The sequence below is a fragment of the Homo sapiens genome, chromosome 16, assembly GCF_000001405.40.
Source record: "Homo sapiens chromosome 16, GRCh38.p14 Primary Assembly".
Classification (NCBI taxonomy): Eukaryota; Metazoa; Chordata; class Mammalia; order Primates; family Hominidae; genus Homo; species Homo sapiens.
Window position 1 is genome coordinate 66,934,463 of NC_000016.10, and position 22,464 is coordinate 66,956,926.

The 22,464-nt window shown below is 51.6% G+C and overlaps 1 protein-coding gene and 1 long non-coding RNA gene across 8 annotated transcripts, besides 6 other annotated features; one reads left to right on the top strand and one right to left on the bottom strand.

Moving 5' to 3' along the window:
* The first annotated feature begins 8 nt into the window (after positions 1-8).
* Positions 9-10,634, top strand: CES2 (carboxylesterase 2). 6 transcript variants are annotated; one of them, NM_003869.6, is made up of 12 exons: positions 9-1,249; positions 3,575-3,779; positions 4,755-4,896; positions 5,760-5,893; positions 5,975-6,233; positions 6,662-6,760; positions 7,044-7,184; positions 7,306-7,386; positions 7,643-7,787; positions 8,186-8,323; positions 8,837-8,909; positions 9,377-10,634. In NM_003869.6, exons 1-12 carry the CDS (start codon positions 1,174-1,176, stop codon positions 9,561-9,563), a joined length of 1,680 nt encoding a protein of 559 aa, NP_003860.3. In that variant the 5' UTR covers positions 9-1,173; the 3' UTR covers positions 9,564-10,634. The 6 variants fall into 6 exon arrangements, with proteins under 6 accessions (NP_003860.3, NP_001352335.1, NP_001352336.1 ...); NM_001365406.1 differs by having other exon boundaries at positions 1,054-1,514; NM_001365407.1 differs by having other exon boundaries at positions 1,054-1,413.
* Positions 664-1,276: an enhancer, noted in NCBI's record as "H3K27ac-H3K4me1 hESC enhancer chr16:66969029-66969641 (GRCh37/hg19 assembly coordinates)". NCBI's record gives its function as "activates a minimal SCP1, AML or CMV promoter by ChIP-STARR-seq in naive H9 embryonic stem cells {active_cell/tissue: H9 hESC(naive)}" and the evidence as "EXISTENCE:reporter gene assay evidence [ECO:0000049][PMID:30033119]".
* Positions 6,096-6,595: an enhancer, noted in NCBI's record as "H3K4me1 hESC enhancer chr16:66974461-66974960 (GRCh37/hg19 assembly coordinates)". NCBI's record gives its function as "activates a minimal SCP1, AML or CMV promoter by ChIP-STARR-seq in primed H9 embryonic stem cells {active_cell/tissue: H9 hESC(primed)}" and the evidence as "EXISTENCE:reporter gene assay evidence [ECO:0000049][PMID:30033119]".
* Positions 6,655-7,854: an enhancer, noted in NCBI's record as "MED14-independent group 3 enhancer chr16:66975020-66976219 (GRCh37/hg19 assembly coordinates)". NCBI's record gives its function as "activates an origin of replication core promoter dependent on BRD2, BRD4, P300/CBP and CDK7 cofactors, and independent of MED14, by STARR-seq in HCT116 cells {active_cell/tissue: HCT116}" and the evidence as "EXISTENCE:reporter gene assay evidence [ECO:0000049][PMID:35650434]".
* A 3,783-nt stretch (positions 10,635-14,417) lies between the features above and the next one.
* On the bottom strand, positions 14,418-19,760 carry LOC107984881 (uncharacterized). 2 transcript variants are annotated; one of them, XR_007065090.1, is made up of 4 exons: positions 19,661-19,737; positions 18,341-18,445; positions 16,179-16,349; positions 14,418-14,469 (listed from the first exon to the last, which is right to left on the bottom strand). It is a non-coding gene; the product is annotated as an uncharacterized LOC107984881 (long non-coding RNA). The 2 variants fall into 2 exon arrangements; XR_001752245.2 differs by lacking the exon at positions 14,418-14,469 and having other exon boundaries at positions 15,948-16,349; positions 19,661-19,760.
* Positions 16,095-16,144: a silencer, noted in NCBI's record as "silent region_7573". NCBI's record gives its function as "represses an Ori minimal core promoter by ATAC-STARR-seq in GM12878 lymphoblastoid cells {active_cell/tissue: GM12878}" and the evidence as "EXISTENCE:reporter gene assay evidence [ECO:0000049][PMID:35858748]".
* Positions 16,990-17,190: a silencer, noted in NCBI's record as "peak2620 fragment used in MPRA reporter construct". NCBI's record gives its function as "represses an SCP1 promoter by STARR-seq MPRAs in K562 erythroleukemia cells {active_cell/tissue: K562}" and the evidence as "EXISTENCE:reporter gene assay evidence [ECO:0000049][PMID:32103011]".
* Positions 17,190-17,390: a silencer, noted in NCBI's record as "peak2621 fragment used in MPRA reporter construct". NCBI's record gives its function as "represses an SCP1 promoter by STARR-seq MPRAs in K562 erythroleukemia cells {active_cell/tissue: K562}" and the evidence as "EXISTENCE:reporter gene assay evidence [ECO:0000049][PMID:32103011]".
* Positions 19,761-22,464: the final 2,704 nt, after the last annotated feature.

The window sequence follows — 22,464 nt, forward strand, 5'->3', positions numbered from 1 at the left end:
GCGCGAGGGACACGCCGCGTTGTGGGTTCTCGGCCTGAGGTGCGAGAGAAGCGGTGACCGCGGCCCTGGCTGCTCGGACCCGGGAACATGATGGTCGCTGGAGCAGAAGGCGCTGAGAAGGGACCACGGCGGCGCTGGGTCGTGCGAGCCAGTAGCGGGCTGAAACGTAGAGGCCAGAACCAGGTCTCAGGGGGCACTAAAGGCGGTCGGAGGTAATCCCCACACCGCTTCCTCCTGGAAGTCAGGCTGGCCGGGAGCTCCCGTATCCAGGACGGTTGGTCGCCTCTGGCCTGGCAGGGATCCTAGTGTCTCGGGACCTCCCGGTGACGCGCCTGCCTCCCCTGCTGCACCATAGGCCCGGGAGTACGGCGTCCCCACAGCTTGGACCGGCAGGGGCTCGTGAAATGTTTGTCAAGTGGATAAATGACCATGGCCGTGGTCTCCGCGGGAGGTGAGGAAACTGAAAGCCACCGAGGAAAAGGGGGGCGCTCCTTAAGAAGTGCCGCGGTCACGTGTACGTTTCAAAAGAATGGCGTGACTGAGTAGGGAGGGGACCGCGGAGACCCTCAGACCCTGGACTGTAAGGAGATGAGGGGCCGTGAAGGGGAACCCAGGAAACTGAGTCCTGAAAGCAAGGAGGAACTTCCAGAATGAAGGGCGCCGACACTCCTTCCTGCCTTTGCTCAAGCGGTTCCTTCACCCCGATCAAGTTCCTTCCCATTTCTCCATCTGGGGGATCCTGAACGTGCACATCCTCAGAGAAGCCCTCCTGGGGTCTCCAATTCTAGTTTATTGCCCCCTCCTATCGATCCCCCAGCGCGCTCATCGGGCCTGTGGACAAGGACAGGTTTGAAGAGAGGATTCCCTGGATCGCGGAAGGGCTGCAGGAATGGCACAGCCCCTTCCGAGGATGCCAAAGGAGCCCGGGCAAAGGAAAGTGGCCGTGCCCGGGCCTGCCTACCACTAGATCCCCACCCACCTATGACTGCTCAGTCCCGCTCTCCTACCACACCCACCTTTCCCGGCCCAAGCCAGCGCACCCCGCTGACTCCCTGCCCAGTCCAAACTCCAAGGCTGGGCAAGGCACTGATCCACTGCTGGACAGACCCGGGGCAGCCTCTGGGTGAACAGCAGCGTGTCCGCCGGCAGCGAACCGAGACCAGCGAGCCGACCATGCGGCTGCACAGACTTCGTGCGCGGCTGAGCGCGGTGGCCTGTGGGCTTCTGCTGCTTCTTGTCCGGGGCCAGGGTGAGGCTCCCTCGGAGGGGCGACAGGGACCGGGCTCAGATCTGCCAAATGCTGCGGAGGCAGAACCTGACAGTGCGGGAGGGCAGGCGCCTGGGAGGTAGGAGCTGGTGGAGATGACAGCGTGGAACTCGTGAGCCCCACGCAACGCCTCCCCGCCGCCCAAGGTGGGCTCCTAGAAGCACAGAAAGGGTCGGGCTGGGGGACACCACGGCAAGGAACCAGCGGAGTACAGGGGCCCCAGGAGCGCCGGGACATGCCAGGCCGGGTAGGCAGCCTGGGGTCGGAGTGGGTGAGGGATTGGGGTGTGGGGATTCAGTCCATTTCCCTCTTATGATTGTGGCTGTAGCGGGTGCTGCCGGCCGGTAATAACAGTAATAGCTTCTGGCAGCATCTGGCTCTCAGTGTGTGGCGTCCTTGGCCAGGGGGGATGCCCTGAGCCCTCCAAAGGGGCCTCAGACAAGGATAGTGGTCCTTGGGGAACAGAAGCCCCCAGGCGCCAAATCCTAAAGCAGATCTAAGAGGCCACAGTGGCTGGGTGCGATTGGCTCACTCCTTTAATCCCACCACTTTAGAAGGCCAAGGGAGAGTATCGCTTGTGCCCAGGAGTTGGAGGCCAGCCTGGACAACATAGTGAGACTCGGAGTGTACAAAAAATTGAAAGAAATTAGTGGGCTGTGGTGGTCTGTGACCTGTAGTCCCAGCTACTTGGGAGGCTGAGGTGGGAGATCACTTTAGTAGGGGAGGTTGAGGCTGCAGTGAGCCTTCATCCCACTACTGCACTCCAGCCTGGGTGAAAAAGCAAAAATCTGTCTCCAGAAACAAGAACCAAAGAGCTCGTGGTGTCCCTCATGCCATTTACCTCATCCTGGGCAAGGGCACAACTTGGCTTCCAGGGCAAAGGTGAAGGCTCTGTGTGCCTGCCAGGCTTCTCCAGGCCCTTATCAGAAGCTGGGGGAGTGTTTCGGCCTTTGGTCCTCTCACCCGAAACTCTCCTAAGTGTATGATCTGTCTCTTCCAACCCTTCCCCAATTTAATTTGCGCAGGTGGAGTCCATACTCCCCCCGCCCCATGGTGCACTGCTGCAGGGCTTCCTCCCGTGCCTGCCCTTGACCACATTCTAGAGTTCACCAGGAGCCCAGCAGGAAGATCTGCCTGGCCTCACAGATGGCTACCTTTTAAAATATTTTGGGCCAGGCACAGTGGCTCACACCTGTTATCCCAGCACTTTGAGAGGCAGAGATGGGAGGATCACTTGAGGCTAGGAGTTAGAGACCAGCTTGGGCAACAAGACTTGTCTCTACCAAAAAAAAAAAAAAAAAAAGTCAAGCATGGTGGCAGACAGCTGTACTCCAAGCTACTCAGGAGGCTGTGGCGGGAGGATCTCAAGCCCAGGAGGTGGAGGCTGCAGTGAGCTGTTATCATATTACTGCATTCCAGCCTGGGCAACAGATGGCGACCTTGTCTGACAAATATATATGTATACAAAATTTTGGGTTGGACCCACATTCAGAAAAAATAATTGACAAGCCATAGGAGGGTACAGGTGATGTGTGCCATCCTCTTTTTACCCAACCAGTCCTGGCTTCTCCTCAGGGGCCATCAAAGTCCCCATGGCCCACACTGGAAACTGCTTGTTGACACCGCAGTACACACAGTGCCCAGCAGTTTACACAAGAATAGATGTGTGCACTTGTCCTTGATTTTCATCTAAACAGTCATAAACTCACCCACTTTCTGGAGCCAGGCTTTTCTACAGCTGGGACTACAGGCATGCACCACCACACCCCGCCAATTTATTTCCTGATTTTTTTGCAGAGACAGAGTCCCACTATGGTCCCCAGGCCAGTCACTGTGCTTTTTATATCCCAGCCACAGCCATACTTTTCTCTTGCACCTCTTTTCACCAACATCACTCATGGTTTGGATGATGCTTTCTTTACATGATTTCTTGCCACTTTGGACATGACATCCCTGAGGACAAGAAACTTGCCTGCCCAATTCCCACCATCATCCTACTGTCACATGACCTGGCACACAGTTGAAGGACACTCTAGTCCCATCAAGGGCATGTGACCCTTTGTTTGAAGGTCCTAGGGCTGAATGATGATGCCTGGCCCCAAGGAGCCTCAGCCTGGTGGGATGGAGACAGGCCCAGGAAGCCAGAGCGGGAAGGGAGTGTTACAGGCAGGAAGTTTGTAAAGCCCATGTTTACAGATCAGAGTCCCTTGAGCTAAGATGAGGATGGCAAGGAAGCAGCAATACCAACAGTTGGGAGGGCAGTCGATTGGTCAAACCCAACCGTGATGTCTGTCTCTCTGCCCACAGGCCAGGACTCAGCCAGTCCCATCCGGACCACACACACGGGGCAGGTGCTGGGGAGTCTTGTCCATGTGAAGGGCGCCAATGCCGGGGTCCAAACCTTCCTGGGAATTCCATTTGCCAAGCCACCTCTAGGTCCGCTGCGATTTGCACCCCCTGAGCCCCCTGAATCTTGGAGTGGTGTGAGGGATGGAACCACCCATCCGGCCATGTAAGCTCTCCAAGGGGTCCAGGGAACTCCAGGCCCTGGGGCAGGGGTGGGGGTGCTCTGAGCTCAGCTAGGCTGCAGTTATCATTTCATCTAAACCCCCACAGCCAGTTTTCCTTCTGAGTTTCGTGGATTCCCACGTGCATTTTTCCAATGAGCATGCTGAGGCTCAGGAGGGCAGAATAACTTCTCAGACTCCTGGATCAGGGCTTGGCATTCAGAAGACATTGGCTCCAGGTGCCGAAGGGAGGGGCAGACACACGTATCTCCCCAGATTCTGGTTATGCCAAGCTTTCTCTGCCACCAGTGGCAGGTGTCTCTGGGAAAGGTTCGGGTTGGCTCTATGAACCTTGTAGGAGCCCCTAACTCTAGTGGCAGATGTTGCAAATACCTGAAGAGAACAGTAGTGGTAGCTTTCTGGGGACCTGCACTCTCCACAGGCACTGTGTCCACTGACAGGACCAGGAGCCATTGGCCAAGAGACATGTATATGTATATGTATATGTTTCCAACTGGAGGCCATGTAGGAATGATGAGTTTTTGAGAGTTTAGACTTGGGATGAGAGACATCCCACTGCCCTTCTCATGAGAAATTAACATCCATTCACTCATGTAGCACACATATGTGGGCTACTCCCCTGTCCCAGGCCTTACGGGTTACAGGAATATAGTGGTGAATGTCAACACATGCAGCCAATGGTTCTCATAGAAACCCCTAAGAGTCAAGGTTTCCGGCAGTGCGAGGAATGATACCCAAGGTCCTCAGTAACCTCGAGGCCTCCCTGGAAGTCCAAGCTGCATCCCAGCTTCCCCAGAGCCTGTGGCCTGTAACTTGGTGGGAAGGGATTTTTGAGAGGGATCATGTGTGAGCAGGATATTGTGGGAAGGGTCTGAGGGTGGCTGGGAGCACCTCTGAACCCAGGGTCTGGTTTTGGCCACAGCCTGGCCCCTGGACTGATTATTTGCCCTGGTTACCAGGTGTCTACAGGACCTCACCGCAGTGGAGTCAGAGTTTCTTAGCCAGTTCAACATGACCTTCCCTTCCGACTCCATGTCTGAGGACTGCCTGTACCTCAGCATCTACACGCCGGCCCATAGCCATGAAGGCTCTAACCTGCCGGTGGGTGTCAGGCCACAGTTCACTGGGGGTTGGAGGACAGTTCTTCTGCAAGAAGCTGAAAAGGACAATATTAGCTCAGGCCCTGCTTCAGAGTGGACCATGCTGAGAAGCTTCTCACTGTCAGGTCCAAGAAATGCTCCTTACCCAGACTGGGCAGCTGGCCCCTGGACATGGGGTCACAGAGTTCTGGCTGCTCCCAGAGGTCAAAGGCTGTGGCTCTGGGCTGGACCCAGGACTCACTCAGCCAACTCATGCCAGGAGATCCACTTAAGTGCCAAAGGGCTGCACCTTGAGGTGACCAAGAACCCCAGCCATGGATAATCTGTTGGGCCTATAGAATGGGCACACACAAAAACTTTTTTTCTTAGAGATGGCATCATGCTCTGTTGCCCAGGCTAAAATGCAGTGGCATGAACATACCTCTCTGTAACCTCGAAATCCGGGATGATCCTCTCAGATTAGCCTCCCGAGTAGCTGGGACTACTGGCCTATTCCACCATGCCTGGCTCATTTTTAAAACATTTTCTGTTGAAACGGGGTCTCACTATGTGGTTCAGGCTAAGGACATTTTTGGTTAATGTTCATGTGGAGCCATCAGGGAGACACCCCTTTTCTTTCCACTTTGGTGAATTATCTGGGGTTAATGAACCCAGGCTTTGATACAGGGGGTTCGATTGCAAAGATTGGGAGGCCTGGTCTTCCTGATAGATCTTGGGTGCCTAACCATTTGCCCATGTAATGAATTTGTGCTGGAGATCTAATGGGGAGGTAGACAGAGGCAAAGCACTGGTTGGTCTAGGTAGTGGCCCTGGTGGGGTTTGGGCTGGGTGGGAGCATCATGGTAGCTGCCTTGATTTCCCCAGGTGATGGTGTGGATCCACGGTGGTGCGCTTGTTTTTGGCATGGCTTCCTTGTATGATGGTTCCATGCTGGCTGCCTTGGAGAACGTGGTGGTGGTCATCATCCAGTACCGCCTGGGTGTCCTGGGCTTCTTCAGGTGAGACTAGGGCTGGGCTGGGCAACCCGGGCTGAGCGGGGCCAGGACAGCCCTGTGATCCCTGTCCCTGCTACTTCTCAGCACTGGAGACAAGCACGCAACCGGCAACTGGGGCTACCTGGACCAAGTGGCTGCACTACGCTGGGTCCAGCAGAATATCGCCCACTTTGGAGGCAACCCTGACCGTGTCACCATTTTTGGCGAGTCTGCGGGTGGCACGAGTGTGTCTTCGCTTGTTGTGTCCCCCATATCCCAAGGACTCTTCCACGGAGCCATCATGGAGAGTGGCGTGGCCCTCCTGCCCGGCCTCATTGCCAGCTCAGCTGATGTCATCTCCACGGTGAGTGCCCTCAGCTGAAGAGGCCTAGGCCTGCTCCCTCCCCTCATATCCCTCAGAGCCTCTGTCTGTTAAACGGGGATGACAAGGGCCATCGGGAGCATGCTCCAGGAGCTGCTGCCTACCGTGGAATTGCTGGGGGGCTCCAGGGTCAGAATTCACATCCTTCTGCCATTGCAGAGGCCGAGCTTGTTCTGTGGCTCCTGTGCAAAGTTGTCACCCTAGGGATCCCCACCATGAGGAGAATCATCTAGGCGGATGGGATGGCCCCTGTGTCTGGGACTTCTGAGTTGGAACAGTGTCAGAACTGCAGGAACTCATACGAAGTACCCTCTGAGATTTGGGGTACCCCTGTTCTTGGCCAGGGCCTTGGGCAAACTCCTCTCCTCTACCTGGAAGGATGAGCCAGCCCCTGCCTGGTCCCTTTACAGGTGGTGGCCAACCTGTCTGCCTGTGACCAAGTTGACTCTGAGGCCCTGGTGGGCTGCCTGCGGGGCAAGAGTAAAGAGGAGATTCTTGCAATTAACAAGGTTGGTCTAAATGGATGTGGGTGTAGAGGAAGGGGTGCAATAGGCATGGGGCTGGCAGGCCTGCACGGCCGTCATATTCCCTGGGCACATTACCTCATCTGCATGCCTGAGTGTCATAGCCCTGGGTCGGGACTGAAGGTCGGTGCATGCTGAGCCAAACAGTAATCTCCTGGGGTGGGTATGAGCATCCAGGGATAAACTGGGAAGGAGTGGAAGGTACTCAGAGGGCATCGGAAGATGTCTGGGACCTGACCTTGTTCCCTGACCTTACATTTCCCCTCAGCCTTTCAAGATGATCCCCGGAGTGGTGGATGGGGTCTTCCTGCCCAGGCACCCCCAGGAGCTGCTGGCCTCTGCCGACTTTCAGCCTGTCCCTAGCATTGTTGGTGTCAACAACAATGAATTCGGCTGGCTCATCCCCAAGGTGAGCCCCAACCCAAGCCCACAAGTGCCTGGGGAGCCCATCTGGTAGTGGGGGGTGTTCAGGGCTTCATAGCTCCAGGCTCATCCCATCCCCAGCTACAGACTCTCTCCTGGCCATCCAGGTCATGAGGATCTATGATACCCAGAAGGAAATGGACAGAGAGGCCTCCCAGGCTGCTCTGCAGAAAATGTTAACGCTGCTGGTAAGGCTCCTGGGGTCCCTCGCCAATGGAGACGGGCTCCTCTCCTGTCCTGAGACAGAGGAAATTCAACCCCCAGATACCCTTCCTATGTAGTGACCCCCATGAGCAAAGGCCTGGGTGTGTGTGTTTAGGGGTGGGGTCACCTCAGAGCCTCGCCTTTGCTCCCCCTTCCTGTGCCATCCCCAAGCCCGAGACCACCTCCTCCCTGCCCCTGGCATCCAGTCTAACCTGCCTCTTCCTGATCCACCTGGGGTAGATGTTGCCTCCTACATTTGGTGACCTGCTGAGGGAGGAGTACATTGGGGACAATGGGGATCCCCAGACCCTCCAAGCGCAGTTCCAGGAGATGATGGCGGACTCCATGTTTGTGATCCCTGCACTCCAAGTAGCACATTTTCAGTGTGAGTATATTTGGACCAAAGCCTGGCGGGCAGGGTACAGCTCAGGGCTGTGGGTCCCAGGTGAGACCTGCTGCTGTCCGGGTCAGCACTCATGTTTATTGGGCTCCGGGGACACTTGACATCCATCATTGCAGTAAATCCTCATGGCTAGCCCAAGAATCCGACATTTCCCCCATTTCACAGACGAGCAAATTGAAGTTAGGGACCTTCAGTGACTTGCCCAAGATGACACAGCAAAGAATCGCAAGTCCTTTCCTCTATTCCTGCCCCAGCCTGGGGCTCCACACCCCATTGTCCAGATTCCAGCCAGCTTTGGACCTAGGTATCTTATCACCATGGGTGAGGCAAGAAGTCTTCAGGGGGAGGGGCCACCGTGTCATGGGCTGTCCACCCCACAGGTTCCCGGGCCCCTGTGTACTTCTACGAGTTCCAGCATCAGCCCAGCTGGCTCAAGAACATCAGGCCACCGCACATGAAGGCAGACCATGGTGATGAGCTTCCTTTTGTTTTCAGAAGTTTCTTTGGGGGCAACTACAGTGAGTCTTCTTCCTTTCCCGGGAGGTGGGCTGGGATTCTGGCTGGGTCTCTGAGCGATGATTGATTGTCCTCACTGCCCAGATAAGGAAACTGAGGCTCAGAGAGAGGATGAGATCAGGTGTCCAAGGTTTTATAGCTCCAAAAGCTGCACCAGGATTAGAATTCACGACTCTTCAGACTGTGAGCTGTGCTCCCTCTGCCTCTCCCCAGCCATGGGTGTCTGGCCTGGTGCAGAACAGGTGTTTCAGGGACATGTTTATTTCTTCAGTGACTCCCAGAGATAGAAGGAAGAAGGGGCCTTTGGGGCCATGAAGGAGCCCAGGATGGAGTCAGCCAGAGCCTGGTCTACAGGGAAAGTTTGGAAAAGGGGAGGGCTGGCTTCTGAGGGCAGTGGAAGAAAAAGCGGAGAAGCAGGACTGGGGACCGAGGTCTCGGGGGCCAAGGACGAGCTCCACCTGGGATGCTGAGGTTGGACATCCTGATGAAGACACATGTCCTCTTCCTCTTGGCAGTTAAATTCACTGAGGAAGAGGAGCAGCTAAGCAGGAAGATGATGAAGTACTGGGCCAACTTTGCGAGAAATGGGTGAGACAGCACACCCCTGCCTCAACCTCCCCGATTGGGGGACTTGTGCCCATCCAGTGCTCTCCTAGTCTGGGGTGACCTCATGAGCACACCCGCATCCTTCATCACATGATGGCCCCTTCCCCAGCTCCGGGACCCACTCAGACAGGGTGGGGGTGCGTGGGGCAGTGGACACGCTCTATCTCTCCAGTCTACCTGGAGGGTGGGCGCCAGTGCTGTGCCACCGTCAGGGCCTCCCTCTCAGAGAGAGGGACACAACAGAGCTGGCTGCCCTCCCCCAACCCCCACTGGTGCTGACACTAGCCAGAGGGAGCTTATTTCCTGTTTCTGGAAGCCTCCCCACTCATTCCCCAAGCCCACCTGGCCTGCTTGGCTGCCTTGCCTGACCAGACTCAGGGTGCTCAGGTCTGGGCTTCGGGGGCCCAGAGTGACCCTCATACTGCCCTGCTGGGATGGCATGTCTACAGGAACCCCAATGGCGAGGGTCTGCCACACTGGCCGCTGTTCGACCAGGAGGAGCAATACCTGCAGCTGAACCTACAGCCTGCGGTGGGCCGGGCTCTGAAGGCCCACAGGCTCCAGTTCTGGAAGAAGGCGCTGCCCCAAAAGATCCAGGAGCTCGAGGAGCCTGAAGAGAGACACACAGAGCTGTAGCTCCCTGTGCCGGGGAGGAGGGGGTGGGTTCGCTGACAGGCGAGGGTCAGCCTGCTGTGCCCACACACACCCACTAAGGAGAAAGAAGTTGATTCCTTCATTCACTTCGCCATTCATTCATACTTCCGTCCATCCATTCAGAAAGCATTTATTAAGAATTTACTCAGGCATGATGGCCCATACTTGTAATCCCAGCTATTGGGAAGGATGAGATGGGAGGATGGCTTGAGGCCAGAGGTTTGAGACCGACCAGCCAGGGCAACACAGTGAGACCCCTTCTCAAAAAAAAAAAAAAAAAAGAGAGAGTGTGTGATTAGAAGCTAAATAGGAAAGTTTTGAGCTTCAAGTCAGTGAGGAGTAAAAAAGATTTTTAAAAAGCAAAGAAAACAAAATATAAGGGAAAAATATGAGAAAAATAAAAATAAAAAGAGAATAATAGGCCAGGCACTGTGGCTCATGCCCCTAATCCCAGCACTTTTGGGAGGTCAAGGTGAGCAGAACACCTGAGGACAGGAGTTTGAGACCAGCCTGCCCAACGTGGTGAAACCCCATCTCTATGAAAAATACAAAAATCAGACGGGCACAGTGGTGGTGCCCACCTGTGATCCCAGCTACTCAGGAGGCTGAGGCAGGAGAATTACTTGAACCTGGGAGGCAGAGGTTGCAGTGAGCTGAGATTGTGCCACTGTACTCCAGCCTGGGCAACAAGAGCGAGACTCCGTTTCCAAAAAAATAAGAGAGAATAGAAGAAGCTACTGCATGATGTTAGTTACCAAGCCTGCCATGGGTCCTCTCTTGCTAGACACACTCCATAGATCCCCCCACTGAGCTGTGGATGGGCAAACCCCGGTGGAATCCCACCCTCCCCAACACCCCACTGAGCCCTGGGCCCCCTCCTCCCTTCCTCACCTCCACCTTCTCCCTGCCTTCTCTCTTCTCTCGTCTGAGCCCCCAGGCCTTTTCCACTTTGAGGGAGGTGCTTCGAAGAATGTTGCCCACACCTAAGTGTTAGAAGCCTATGTCCGTTCATCCCTGAGAGGTCTGAAAGAATAAAAATAAATTCTAAAAAAAGCCTCTGTCTGCCTCTCCCCAAGCCCCAAGTGCTCTTACATCTGTGAGTGGCCAGGCCGGGTGCGGTGGCTCACACCTGTAATCCCAGCATTTTGGGAGGCCAAGGTAGGCGGATCACCACATCAGGAGATCGAGACCATCCTGGCTAGCATGGTGAAACTCCGTCTCTACTAAAAGTACAAAAAATTAGCCTGGTGCAGTGGCACACGCCTGTAGTCCCAGCTACTAGGGAGGCTGAGGCAGGAGAATCCCTTGAACCCGGGAGGCAGAGGTTGCAGTGAGATGAGATTGCACCACGGCACTCCTGCCTGGGCCACAGGACGAGACTCAGTCTCAAACAAACAAACAAAGAAACAAAAACAAAAAACAAAAAAAATCTGTGAGTGGCCAATAGGAAACCTGGTTACTGGAATTCCTAGTGTTTTAGTCCATTCAGTTGCTATAGCAAAAATACTACCGATTAGACCCGGTGCAGTGGCCCACACCCATCATCACAACACTTTGGGAGGCCGAGGTGGGTGGATCACTTGACCCCAGGAGTTTGAGACCAGCCTGGCCAACATGGTGAAACGCTGTCTCTACTAAAAAGACAAAAATTAGCCAGGCTCTGTGGTGCACACCTAGAATATCAGCTACTCGGGAGGCTGAGACACGAGTATAACATGAACCCAGGAGGTAGAAGTTGCAGTGAGCTGAGATTGCACCACTGCACTCCAGTCTGGGCGACAGAGACCCTACCTCAAAAATAAGTAAATAAATAAATAAACAAATAAATAAATATTACCGGTTAGGCCGGGTGCAGTGGCTCATGCCTGTAATCCCAGCACTATTGGAGGCCGAGGTGGGACTCCTGAACTTGAGCCCAGGAGTTCCAGACCAGCCTAGGCAGCATGGAGAAATGTCATCTCTACAAAAAAATAGAAAAATTATTTGGATGTGGTGGCACACACCTATAGTCTCAGTTACTCAGGAGGCTGAGGCGGGCAGATCACTTGAGCCTGGGAGGTCAGAGCTGCAGTGAGTCGTGATTGCACCACTACACTCCAGCCTGGGCAACACAGCAAGACCCTGCCTCAAAAAAATAGGGCTTCCAATACTGATATAAAACTTAAAATACTACAGGTTAATATTATAAACTGGGTGCCTTATAATGACAGAAATGTATTGCTTACAGTTCTCGAGGCTTGGACATCGAGGATCAAGGTGCCAGCAGATTTGGTGTCTGGCAAGGACTTGTTCTCTGGTTAATAGATGGCAACCTCAGGCCAGGTGCGGTGGCTCACACCTGTAATCCCAGCACTTTGGGAGGCCAAGGTGGGGTATGACCTGAGGTCAGGAGTTCAAGACCAGCCTGGCCAACATAGTGAAACCCCATCTCTACTAAAATACAAAAATTAGACGGGTGTGGTGGCAGGTGTCTGTAATCCCAGCTACTCAGGAGGCTAAGGTAAGAGAATCACTTGAACCTGGGAGGCAGAGGTTGCAGTGAGCTGAGATCACAGCACTATACTCCAGCCTGGGCGACAGCACGAGACATTATCTCAAAAATAAAAAATAAAACAAGCCACCCACCCAACTATCGATGTCCTGCAGAGGTGCCTAACCCCACTTTTGTCAGAAGCCAGACCGGGCTTGTCCATAGGCCCCTGAGCCTGGGCCTCCTGCACAGTGGCCAGGAAAGCCAAGCTGCTTCCTCAGTCGCCCGTCTCCTGAAGGTTGCTCTTCTTCTCAGTGGTTCTACAGACACTGTAAGGCCCATACTCACAGGATATTAGCACACCTGCTAAGAGATTCCTGTCCGCTGGCTACCAGGGGCCTCTCCATCCAGGGAAATGTCCTCTCACGTTTCAGAATTTCCCTGCCAACCTTTCAACCCCCTGAGCATCCCCAAATTCACCATGTGTGTCCACACGATTACTTTTCCTACTTACCTCATTGTTGTCCCTAGACTTTTCTCCTTCCCCGCTCTGCAAAAAACCTCATATTTTATCTCAGTGTGCAAAGGTGGCCAATTGTGTTCAATCGGCCTCTTGGTTTCACCAAAGTATATTCTCTCTGTCATTAAGAGGCTATATTTCTGTCCCATAAACCCTAATAATCCCCTTATGCCCCTACTGCTGATCAACTTGCCTCTCAGGGCACCCGTTTTCCATGGGGAAAGTCTCCCTTCTTTCCAGCCAGGGCCCGTAAGTCCAATTACAGAGCCTTTTGAAGTTTGGGGTGAAAGACCAGGACACCCACATTGCCCATTTTGGCCACCAGGTGGCAGACAAGGATAATATTAAGCCTGGAATGACTTGAACTTGAGAGAGGGAGGAGACTTTCCTTTCAATGAACACTGATTGGTGCATAATGTTCCCACTACATTCTGAAAGCGTTTATTGTGCACCAGCTGCATGCATGCCTCTGTATGTTTTTCAGTTCTGCAGATGTACAATATACCTTCCCAAAGTCAGTTCCCAGGATTACTGTTTAGACTTAATAGTTCTTTTTTTAACAGCTTTATTGTGAAATAACTTACAATTTACCCCCTGCTCCCCCTTTTTTTTTTGAGACAAGGTCTAGTCCTGTCACCCAGGCTAGAATGCAGTAGTGCAATCACAGATCACTGCAGCCTCCACCTCCGGGCTTCAGACACTGTAAGGCCCATAGTTACAGGACCATAGTACACTCCCGTTCCCAGACCAGTTGGTCGCCTCTGGCCTGGCAGGGCTCCCAGTGTCTCGGGACCTCCAGGTGACGCGCCTGCCTCCCCTGCTGCAACAGAGGCCTGGGAGTGCCGGGTCCCCATCGCTCGGAGCGGCAGGCGCTCGTGAAATGTTCGTCAAGAGGATAAATGACCATGGCCCTGGTCTCCGCGGGAGGTGAGGAAACTGAAAGCCACCGAGGAAAAGGGGGGCGCTCCTTAAGAAGTGCCGCGGTCACGTGTACGTTTCAAAAGAATGGCGTGACTGAGTAGGGAGGGGACCGCGGAGACCCTCAGACCCTGGACTGTAAGGAGATGAGGGGCCGTGAAGGGGAACCCAGGAAACTGAGTCCTGAAAGCAAGGAGGAGCTTCCAGAATGAAGGGCGCCGTCACGCCTCCCTGCCTTTGCTCAAGCGGTTCCTTCACCCCGATCAAGTTCCTTCCCATTTCTCCAACTGTGGGGATCCTGAACGTGCACCTCCTCAGAGAAGCCCTCTTGGGATCTCCAATTCTAGTTTATTGCCCCCTCCTATCGATCCCCCAGCGCGCTCATCGGGCCTGTGGACAACGACAGGTTTGAGGAGAGGATTCTCTGGATCGCGGAGGACTACAGAAGCCGCGCAGCCCCTTCTGAGGATGCCAAAGGGGCCCGGGCAGAAGGGAAGTGGCCGTGCCCGGGCCTGCCTACCACTAGATCCCCACCCACCTATGACTGTTCAGTCCTGCTCTCCTACCAACCCACCTTTCCCGGCCCAAGTCAGCGCACCCCGCCGACTCCCTGCCCAGTCCAAACTCCGAGGCTGGGCAAGGCACTGGATCCACGGCTGGACCGACCCGGGGCAGCCTCTGGGTGAACAGCAGCGTGTCCGTCGGCAGAGAACCGAGACCAGCGAGCCGACCATGCGGCTGCACAGACTTCACGCGCGGCCGAGCGCGGTGGCCTGTGGGCTCCTGCTGCTTCTCCTCCAGGGTCACTATGAGGCTCCCGCGGAGGGGTGACAGGGACCGGGCTCAGATCTGCCAAATGCTGCGGAGGCAGAACCTGACAGTGCGGGAGGGCAGGCGCCTGGGAGGTAGGAGCTGGTGGAGATGACAGCGTGGAACTCGTGAGCCCCACGCAACGCCTCCCTGCCGCCCAGGGTGGGCTCCTAGAAGCACAGAAATGGTCGGGCTGCGGGACACCACAGCGAGGAACCAGCGGAGTACAGGGGCCCCAGGAGCGCCGGGACATGCCAGGCCGGGTAGACAGCCTCGGGTCGGAGTGAGTGAGGGATTGGGGTGTGGGGATTCAGTCCATTTCCCTCTTACGATTGTGGCTGTAGCCTGTGCTGCCGGCCGGTAATAACAGTAATAGCTTCTGGCAGCAGCTGGCTCTCAATGTGTGGCGTCCTTGGCCAAGGGGGCGCGCTGAGCCCTCCAAAGGGGCCTCAGACAAGGTTAGTGGTCCTTGGGGAACAGAAGCCCCCAGGCTCCAAATCCTAAAGCAGATCTAAGAGGCCGCAGTGGCTGGGTGCGATTGGCTCACTCCTTTAATCCCAGCATTTTGGAAGGCCAAGGGGGAGAATCGCTTGATCCCAGGAGTTGGAGGCCAGCCTGGGCAACATAGACTCAGAGTGTACAAAATAATTAAAAGAAATTAATGGGCTGTGGTGGCCTGTGACCTCTAGTCCCAGCTTCTTGGGAGGCTGAGGTGGGAGATCACTTTAGTAGGGGAGGTTGAGGCTGCAGTGAGCCTTCATCACACTATTGCACTCCAGCCTGGGTGAAAAAACAAAAATCTGTCTCCAGAAACAAGAGCCAAAGAGCTCGTGGTGTCCCTCACGCCATTTACCTCATCCTGGGCAAGGGCACAACTTGGCTTCCAGGGCAAAGGTGAAGGCTCTGTGTGCCTGCCAGGCTTCTCCAGGCCCTTTTCGAAGCTCCGGGAGTGTTTTGGCCTTTGGTCCTCTCACCTGAAACTCTCCTAAGTGTATGATCTGACTGCCTCTCCCGACCCTTTCCCAATTTAATCTGCCCAGGTGGAGTCCATATTCGCCCCATGGTGCACTCCTGCAGGGCTTCCTCCCATGCCTGCCCTTGATCACATTCTAGAATTCACCAGGAGCCCAGCAGGAAGATCTGCCTGGCCTCACAGATGGCTACCTTTTGAAATATTTTGGGCCAGACACAGTGGCTCACACCTGTTATCCCAGCACTGTGTGAGGCAGAGATGGGAGGATCACATGAGGCTAGGAGTTAGAGACCAGCTTGGGCAACAAGACTTGTCTCTACCAAAAAAAAAAAAAAAAAAAAAAAAAGGACTCTCAGGCATGGTGGCACACAACTGTGTTCCCAAGTACTTGGGAAGTTGAGATGGGGGGATCTCAAGCCCAGGAGGTGGGGGCTGCAGTGAGCTGCAATCACACCACTGCACTCCAGCCTGGGCAACAGACGGAGTCCAATATTTAGATGTATATTATATTATATTATAAACATATGTGTGTCTGACAAATATATTATATATTTTGGTAGAGACAGGCTTTCACCATGTTGGCTAGGCTGGTCTCGAACTCCTAACCTCAAGTGATCCACCCACCTCGGCCTCCCAAAGTGCTAGGATTACCAAAGTCACCCACTGCGACTGACCTGTTTTCTGACTTTTTATTATGAAACTGGGCTCAGATTTCCCAAATCCTACAGAAGCAGAACCTGAGGTTCCAAAAGGGAAAGTGCCAGGCAGGTGGGAGCTGGTGGGAATAAGAACAGCAGGTGAACCTCCCTGAGGCACAGAGAGGGTCAAGCCTGCTCAAGGGCTGCACAGCACCAAAGGATGAGCCAAGTCTGAGGTAGAAACAGTAGTATAAGAAATCCAACATACCCATTGTCCGTCTTCAGCAATAACAAAGATCTTGTTTTTGTTTCTGTTTTAAATCAGCTTTCTCAGGTTGAATATAACCTGGTGTTTTCCGGATGGCCACCTCTCTCTTGCATCATTATTTGAAACAAATCCCAGACATCATATCATCTGTAAAGTTTTCATCATGTCCTACTAAAGAAAAGGAACATATATATGTATGTGTGTATTTCCACAACATAATATGTTCTCAATTTAATCAAATATATGGTCGTGTTCTTTAGTATTTATAAATGATACTTGTATTAATACAAGTTTTTTTTTAAATCAGGATTCAAATAACGTTCATACTTTGCAAATAAGTAGATATTTCTTTTTTCTCTTTTTTTTTTTTTTTTGAGATGGAGTCTCACTCTGTTGCCCAGGCTCACTGCAACCTCTGCCTCTTGGGTTCAAGGGATCCTCATGCCTCAGCTCCCAAGTAGCTAGAATTACAGGCACATGCCACCACGCCTGGCTAAGTTTTGTATTTTTAGTAGAGATAGGGTTTCACCATGTCAGCCAGGCTGGTTTCAAACTCCTGACCTCAGGTGATCCACCCACCTTGACTTCTTAAAGTGCTTGGATTACAGGCGTGAGCCTCCATGCCCCACCAATTGTCTTGGCTTTATAGTTAGGAGTGGAATTGCTGAGTCATATGGCAACTCCATGTTTAATCCCCTGAAAAACTGCCAGACTGTTTTCCAAAGCAGCTGCACCATTTTCCTTTCCCCTGGCAATGTATGAAAGTTCCAAGTTTTCCATATCCTTACCAACACTTATTATTATCTGTCATTTTTATGTGTTTCTTGAATCTCTTTCAGTCTTCAGATTTACCATCTGCCTCTCTTTAATTTTCTTTCTAAATTTTGTTGCATGTGGAAGAAACCAGTTTATTTGTTCTGGAGAGGATCCCACCATTTAGGTTTTGCTGATTGCATCCGGGTGGTGTCTTTTAACAGTTCTTCTATCCCCTGTCTACTGTGTAAACTTGTATTTATATTCTAGAGGCATAATCAGATTTGGGTTTTAGGTTTTATTTTGTTTTGTTTTTTGGAGGACCACTTCACATGTGGTGCTGCATACTTCTGATAGAAAATATGTAACGTCTGATTATCTTGCTTGTTGGGATACCACAAAATGAGTGGTTGACATCACAGTGAGAATTCAATGTGCATTTCTCTTACTATGAATGACTTAAAGATCTCTTCGTTTATTTGAGAGACACTGATTTGTAGTGCTTATTCTGAACACATTCTTATGCTACTTTTTCTGTTGTATACATGACATATTCTTTGTTTGTAGAAATTCTTTATCGATTAAGAGGACTGATTTTCTCTGTTAGGCAATTTTCCATCACTTCCTCCCTCCCTGATCCCCACAGCAGTCACACTATGTTTTTTCTGGAGACTGGGTCTTGCTTTGTTGCCTAGACTAGAGTGCAAAGGCGGGATCATAGCTCATGCAGCGTCGAATTCCTTCTGCCTTAGCCTCCTGAGTAGCTGAGTAGCTGGCCCAGAGTTTGAGACCAGCCTAGCCAACACGGTGAACCCCTGTCTCTACTAAAAATACAAAAATTAGCTAGGCTTGGTGGTGCACACCTATAATCCTACATATTCAGGAGGCTGAGACACAAGAATCACTTGAACTCAGGAAGCGGAGGTTGCAGTGAGCCAAGATCGCACTACTGCACTCCAGTCTGGGTGACAGAGCGAGGGTCTGTCTCAAAAAAAAAAATAAATAAATACTACCGGTTTCGGCCAGGCACGGTGGCTCATGCCCATAATCCCCGCACTTTTGGATGCCGAGGTGGGCCTCCTGAACTTGAGCCCAGGACTTTGACGCTAGCCTAGGCAGCTTGGAGAAACGCCATCTCTACAAAAAAAAAATTCAAAAATTGGCTGGATGTGGTGGCACGCACCTGTAGTCTCAGTTACTCAGTAGGCTGAGGCGGGCAGATCACTTGAGCCTGGGAGGTCAGAGCTGCAGTGAGTCGTGATTGTGCCACTACACTCCAGCCTGGGCAATACAGCAAGACCCTGTCTCAAAAAAAAAAGTTTCCTATACTGATATAAAACTTAAAAAAAAATTTTACAGATTGATGTTATAAACTGGGTGCCTTCATGTGACAGAAATGTATTGCTTACAGTTATAGAGGCTTAGAAGTCCAGGATCAAGGTGTCAGCAGATTTGCTGTCTGGCAAGGACTTGTTCTCTGGTTAATAGATGGCAGCCTCTCATTGTGTGCTCCCCTGGAGGAAAGGGAAAACAAGCTCCATCTGGCCTCTTTTGTAAGGACACTAATCCCCTTCACCTCCTGAAGTCCCCACCTCTTGACACCATCACATTGGGGATTAGGTTTCACCATACAAATTTTTGAGGCAATACAAACATTTAAACCATAGCACTTAGAGCTCCCAGATTTCAGCCACCAAGGTCACCAACTACTGAAAATGTAAAAGTTCCTATACTCCCCTTTTGTCCCACTAAATGTCGTCTATCATTGACATTTAAAACAAGCCACCTTTACAGGCCAGGTGCGGTGGTTCATGCCTGTAATCCTAGCACTTTGGGAGGCCAAGCCAGGTGGATCACCTGAGGTCAGGATTTCGAGACCAGCCTGGCCAACAAGGTGAAACCCTGTCTTTACTAAACACAAAAATTAGCCAAGCGTGGTGGCACATCCCTGTAATCCCAGCTACTTGGGAGGCTGAGCCAGGAGAATTGCTTGAACCCTGGAGGCGGAGATCATAGTAAGCTGAGATTGTGCCACTATACTCCAGCCTGGGTGACAGAGCAAGACTCAATCTAAAAACAAAAACAAAAACAAACAAACAAAAACAAGCCACCTCCTCGCCTATCTGTGTCCTGCAGAGGTGACTCAACCCATTTTTGTAAGAAGCAAGACTGGGCTTGTCCACAGGCCCCTGAGCCTGGGCCTCCTGTACAGTTGCCAGGAAAGCCAAGCCGATTCCTCAGTGGCCGTCTCCTGAAGGTTGCTCTTCTTCTCAGTGGTTCTACAGACACTGTAAGGCCCCTACTCACAGGATCGTAGCACACTCGCGAAGATGTTTACCTGTGGGGTGTGCCCCGGAAGTGGGATTGAGGGTCCAAAGGTCCAGGCATATCTAAGAAAAGAGATTCCTGTTCCCTGGCTCCCAGGAGCCTCTCCACCCAGGGAGATGTTCTCTGGCCTTTCAGAATTCCCTTGCCAACCTTTCAGCCCCCTGAGCATCCCCGAACTCACCATGTGTGTCCATATGATTATTTTCCTACTTACCTCATTGTTGTCCCTAAACTTTTCTCCTTCCTGGCTTCGCAAAAATCCTCCTCATATTTTATCTCAGTGTGCAAAGGTGGCCAATTGTGTTCAATCGGCCTCTTGGTTTCACCAAAGTATATTCCCTCTGTCATTAAGAGGCTGTATTCTAGTCCCATAGACCCTAATAATCCCCTTATACCCCTACCTCTGACCAACTTGCCTCTCGGGGCACCGGATTTCCAGGGCGAAAGTCTCCCTTCTTTCCATCCACGGCCTTTAAGCCCAACTACAGCTTTTTGAAGTTTGGAGCGAAAGACCAGGACACCCACTTTGCCCATTTGGGCCACCAGGTGGCAGACAAGGATAATGTTAAACCTGGGCTGACTTGAACTTGAGAGAGCAGGGAGACTTTCCTTTCAATAAACACTGGTGCATAATGTTTCCACTACATTCTGAAAGCATTTATTGAACACCGGCTGCATGCCTGTCTCTGTATGTTTTTCAGTTCTGCAGAGGTACAATATAGTTTCCCAATATACATTCCCAGGATTACTGTTTAGACTTAATAGTTATTTTTTAACAGCTTTATAGTGAAATAACTTACAATTAAATTTACCTCCCCCCACCCTTTTTTTTTTTTTTTTTCTGAGGCAAGGTCTCGTTCTGTCACCTAGGCTGGAATGCAGTGGCACAATCACAGCTCACTGCAGCGTCCACCTCCTGGGCTCAAGCCATCCCCCACCTCAGCCTCCCAAGTAGCCAGGACCACAGGCACATGCCACCATGGCTGGAGAACTTAAATTTTTTTATTTTTTATTTTTGGTAGAGGCGAAGTCTCACTAGGTTACCCAGCTGGTCTCCAACTCCTAGGATCAAGTGATCTTTCCATCTAGGCCTCCCAAATTGGTAGGATTACAGGCAGATGTGAACCACTGTGCTTGGCCTAAACTCACCCATTTTCAGTGTGCAGTTTGATCACGTTGAGTAAATGTATAAGACATGCAAACACCACCACGTGGAGTTTTACAATATTTCTATCACTCCAAAATTCCCTCAAGCCCTTTTGCAGTCAATCGTCCTGATCCATGCTCCTAAGCAACCATCGAGTTGCTTTCTGTTGCTATAGTTTGCATTTTCTAGAATATGAATGAAATAATACAAATTATAAATTAATATGATAGTACTAATTATATAAATGAAATAACTTGCGATTGGCTTCTGTCAATTGTGTTTTTGAAATTCAACCAGTAGTTCTTTTCTTTTATCGTGGAGTGGTATTCCATGTATAAATATACTCCCTTTCTTTTTCTTTAGAGACAGGATCTTGCTATGTTGCTCAGGCTGGTCTTGAACTCCTGGGCTTAAACAATCCTCCCGCCTCGGCCTCCCAAAGTGCCGGGATTATAGAAGTGAGCCGGTGTGCCTCGCCAATATACGCAACTTTATTAATTCATCAGTGTAGGGGTGGCCTGCCCCTCCACACCTGTGGGTATATTTCATCAGGTGGGATGAGAGACTGAGAAAAGAAATAAGACACAGAGACAAAGTATAGAGAAAGAAAAGTGGGCCCAGGAGACTGGCGCTCAGCATATGGAGGACCTGCACCGGCACCGGTCTCTGAGTTCCCTCACTTTTTATTGATTATTATTTTCACCATCTCAGCAAGAGGAATGCGGCAGAAGAGCAGGGTGATAGTGGGGAGAAGGTCAGCAAGAAAACATGTGAGCAAAAGAATCTGTGTCATAATTAAGTTCGAGGGGAGGTAGTATGCCTGGATGTGCACGTAGGCCAGATTTATGTTTCTCTCTGCCCAAACATCTCAGTGGAGTAAAACATAACAAAGCAGCATTGCTGCCAACATGTCTTGCCTCCCGCCACAGGGCGTTTTTTTTCCTATCTCAGAATTGAGCAAATGTACAATCGGGTTTTATACCGAGACATTCCGTTCCCAGGGGCAGGCAGGAGACAGAGGCCTTCCTCTTATCTCAACTGCAAGAGGCCTTCCTCTTTTACTAATCCTCCTCAGCACAGACCCCTTATGGGTGTCGGGCTGGGGGACGGTCAGGACTTTCTCATCCCAAGAGGCCATATTTCAGACTATCACAGGCGGGGAGAAACCTTGGACAATACCCGGCTTTCCAAGGCAGAGGTCCCAGCAGCTTTTCGCAGTGCGTTGTGCCCCTGGTTTATTGAGACTAGAGAATGGTGATGACTTTTACCAAGCATACTGCTTGTAAACATTTTGTTAACAAGGCACGTCCTGCACAGCCCTAGATCCCTTAAACCTTGATTCCATACAACACATGTTTTTGTGAGCTCAAGGTTGGGGCAAAGAGGTTGGGGCAAATTGGCTGGGGCAAAGTTACAGATTAACAGCATCTCAGGGCAAAGCAATTGTTCAGGGTACAGGTCAAAATGAAATTTCTTATATCTTCCCTTTCTACACAGACACAGTAACAGTCTGATCTCTCTTTCTTTTCCCTACAATCAGTGGGTGCACATTTGAGTGACTTCCATTTTTGGGGTATTTTTATAAAGCTGCTGTGAACATTTTCAGACAAACCTTTCATTTCTTTGGGGTAGATAGCTGAGATTGGACACTCACCATATAATGCCATTCTGGGTCATATGGCAAGGGTGTGTTTCACTTTTAAAGAAAACGCCCCCTATTTAAAGATCTACACTAGGCTGGGCGCAGTGGCTCACGCCTGTAATCCTAGCACTTTGGGAGGCCGAGGCAGATGGATCACCTGAAGTCAGGAGTTTGAGACCAGCCTGGCCAACATGGTAAAACCCCGTCTCTACTAAAAATACAAAGATTAGCCGGGCATGGTGGCGCATGCCTGTAATCCCAGCTTCTTCAGAGGCTGAGGCACAGGAATTGCTTGAACCTAGGAGGCACAGGTTGCAATGAGCTGAGATTGCACCACTGCACTCCAACCTGGGCGACAGAGCAAGACTCTCAAAATACATAAATAAATAAATATCTACACTACACGACAAATACAT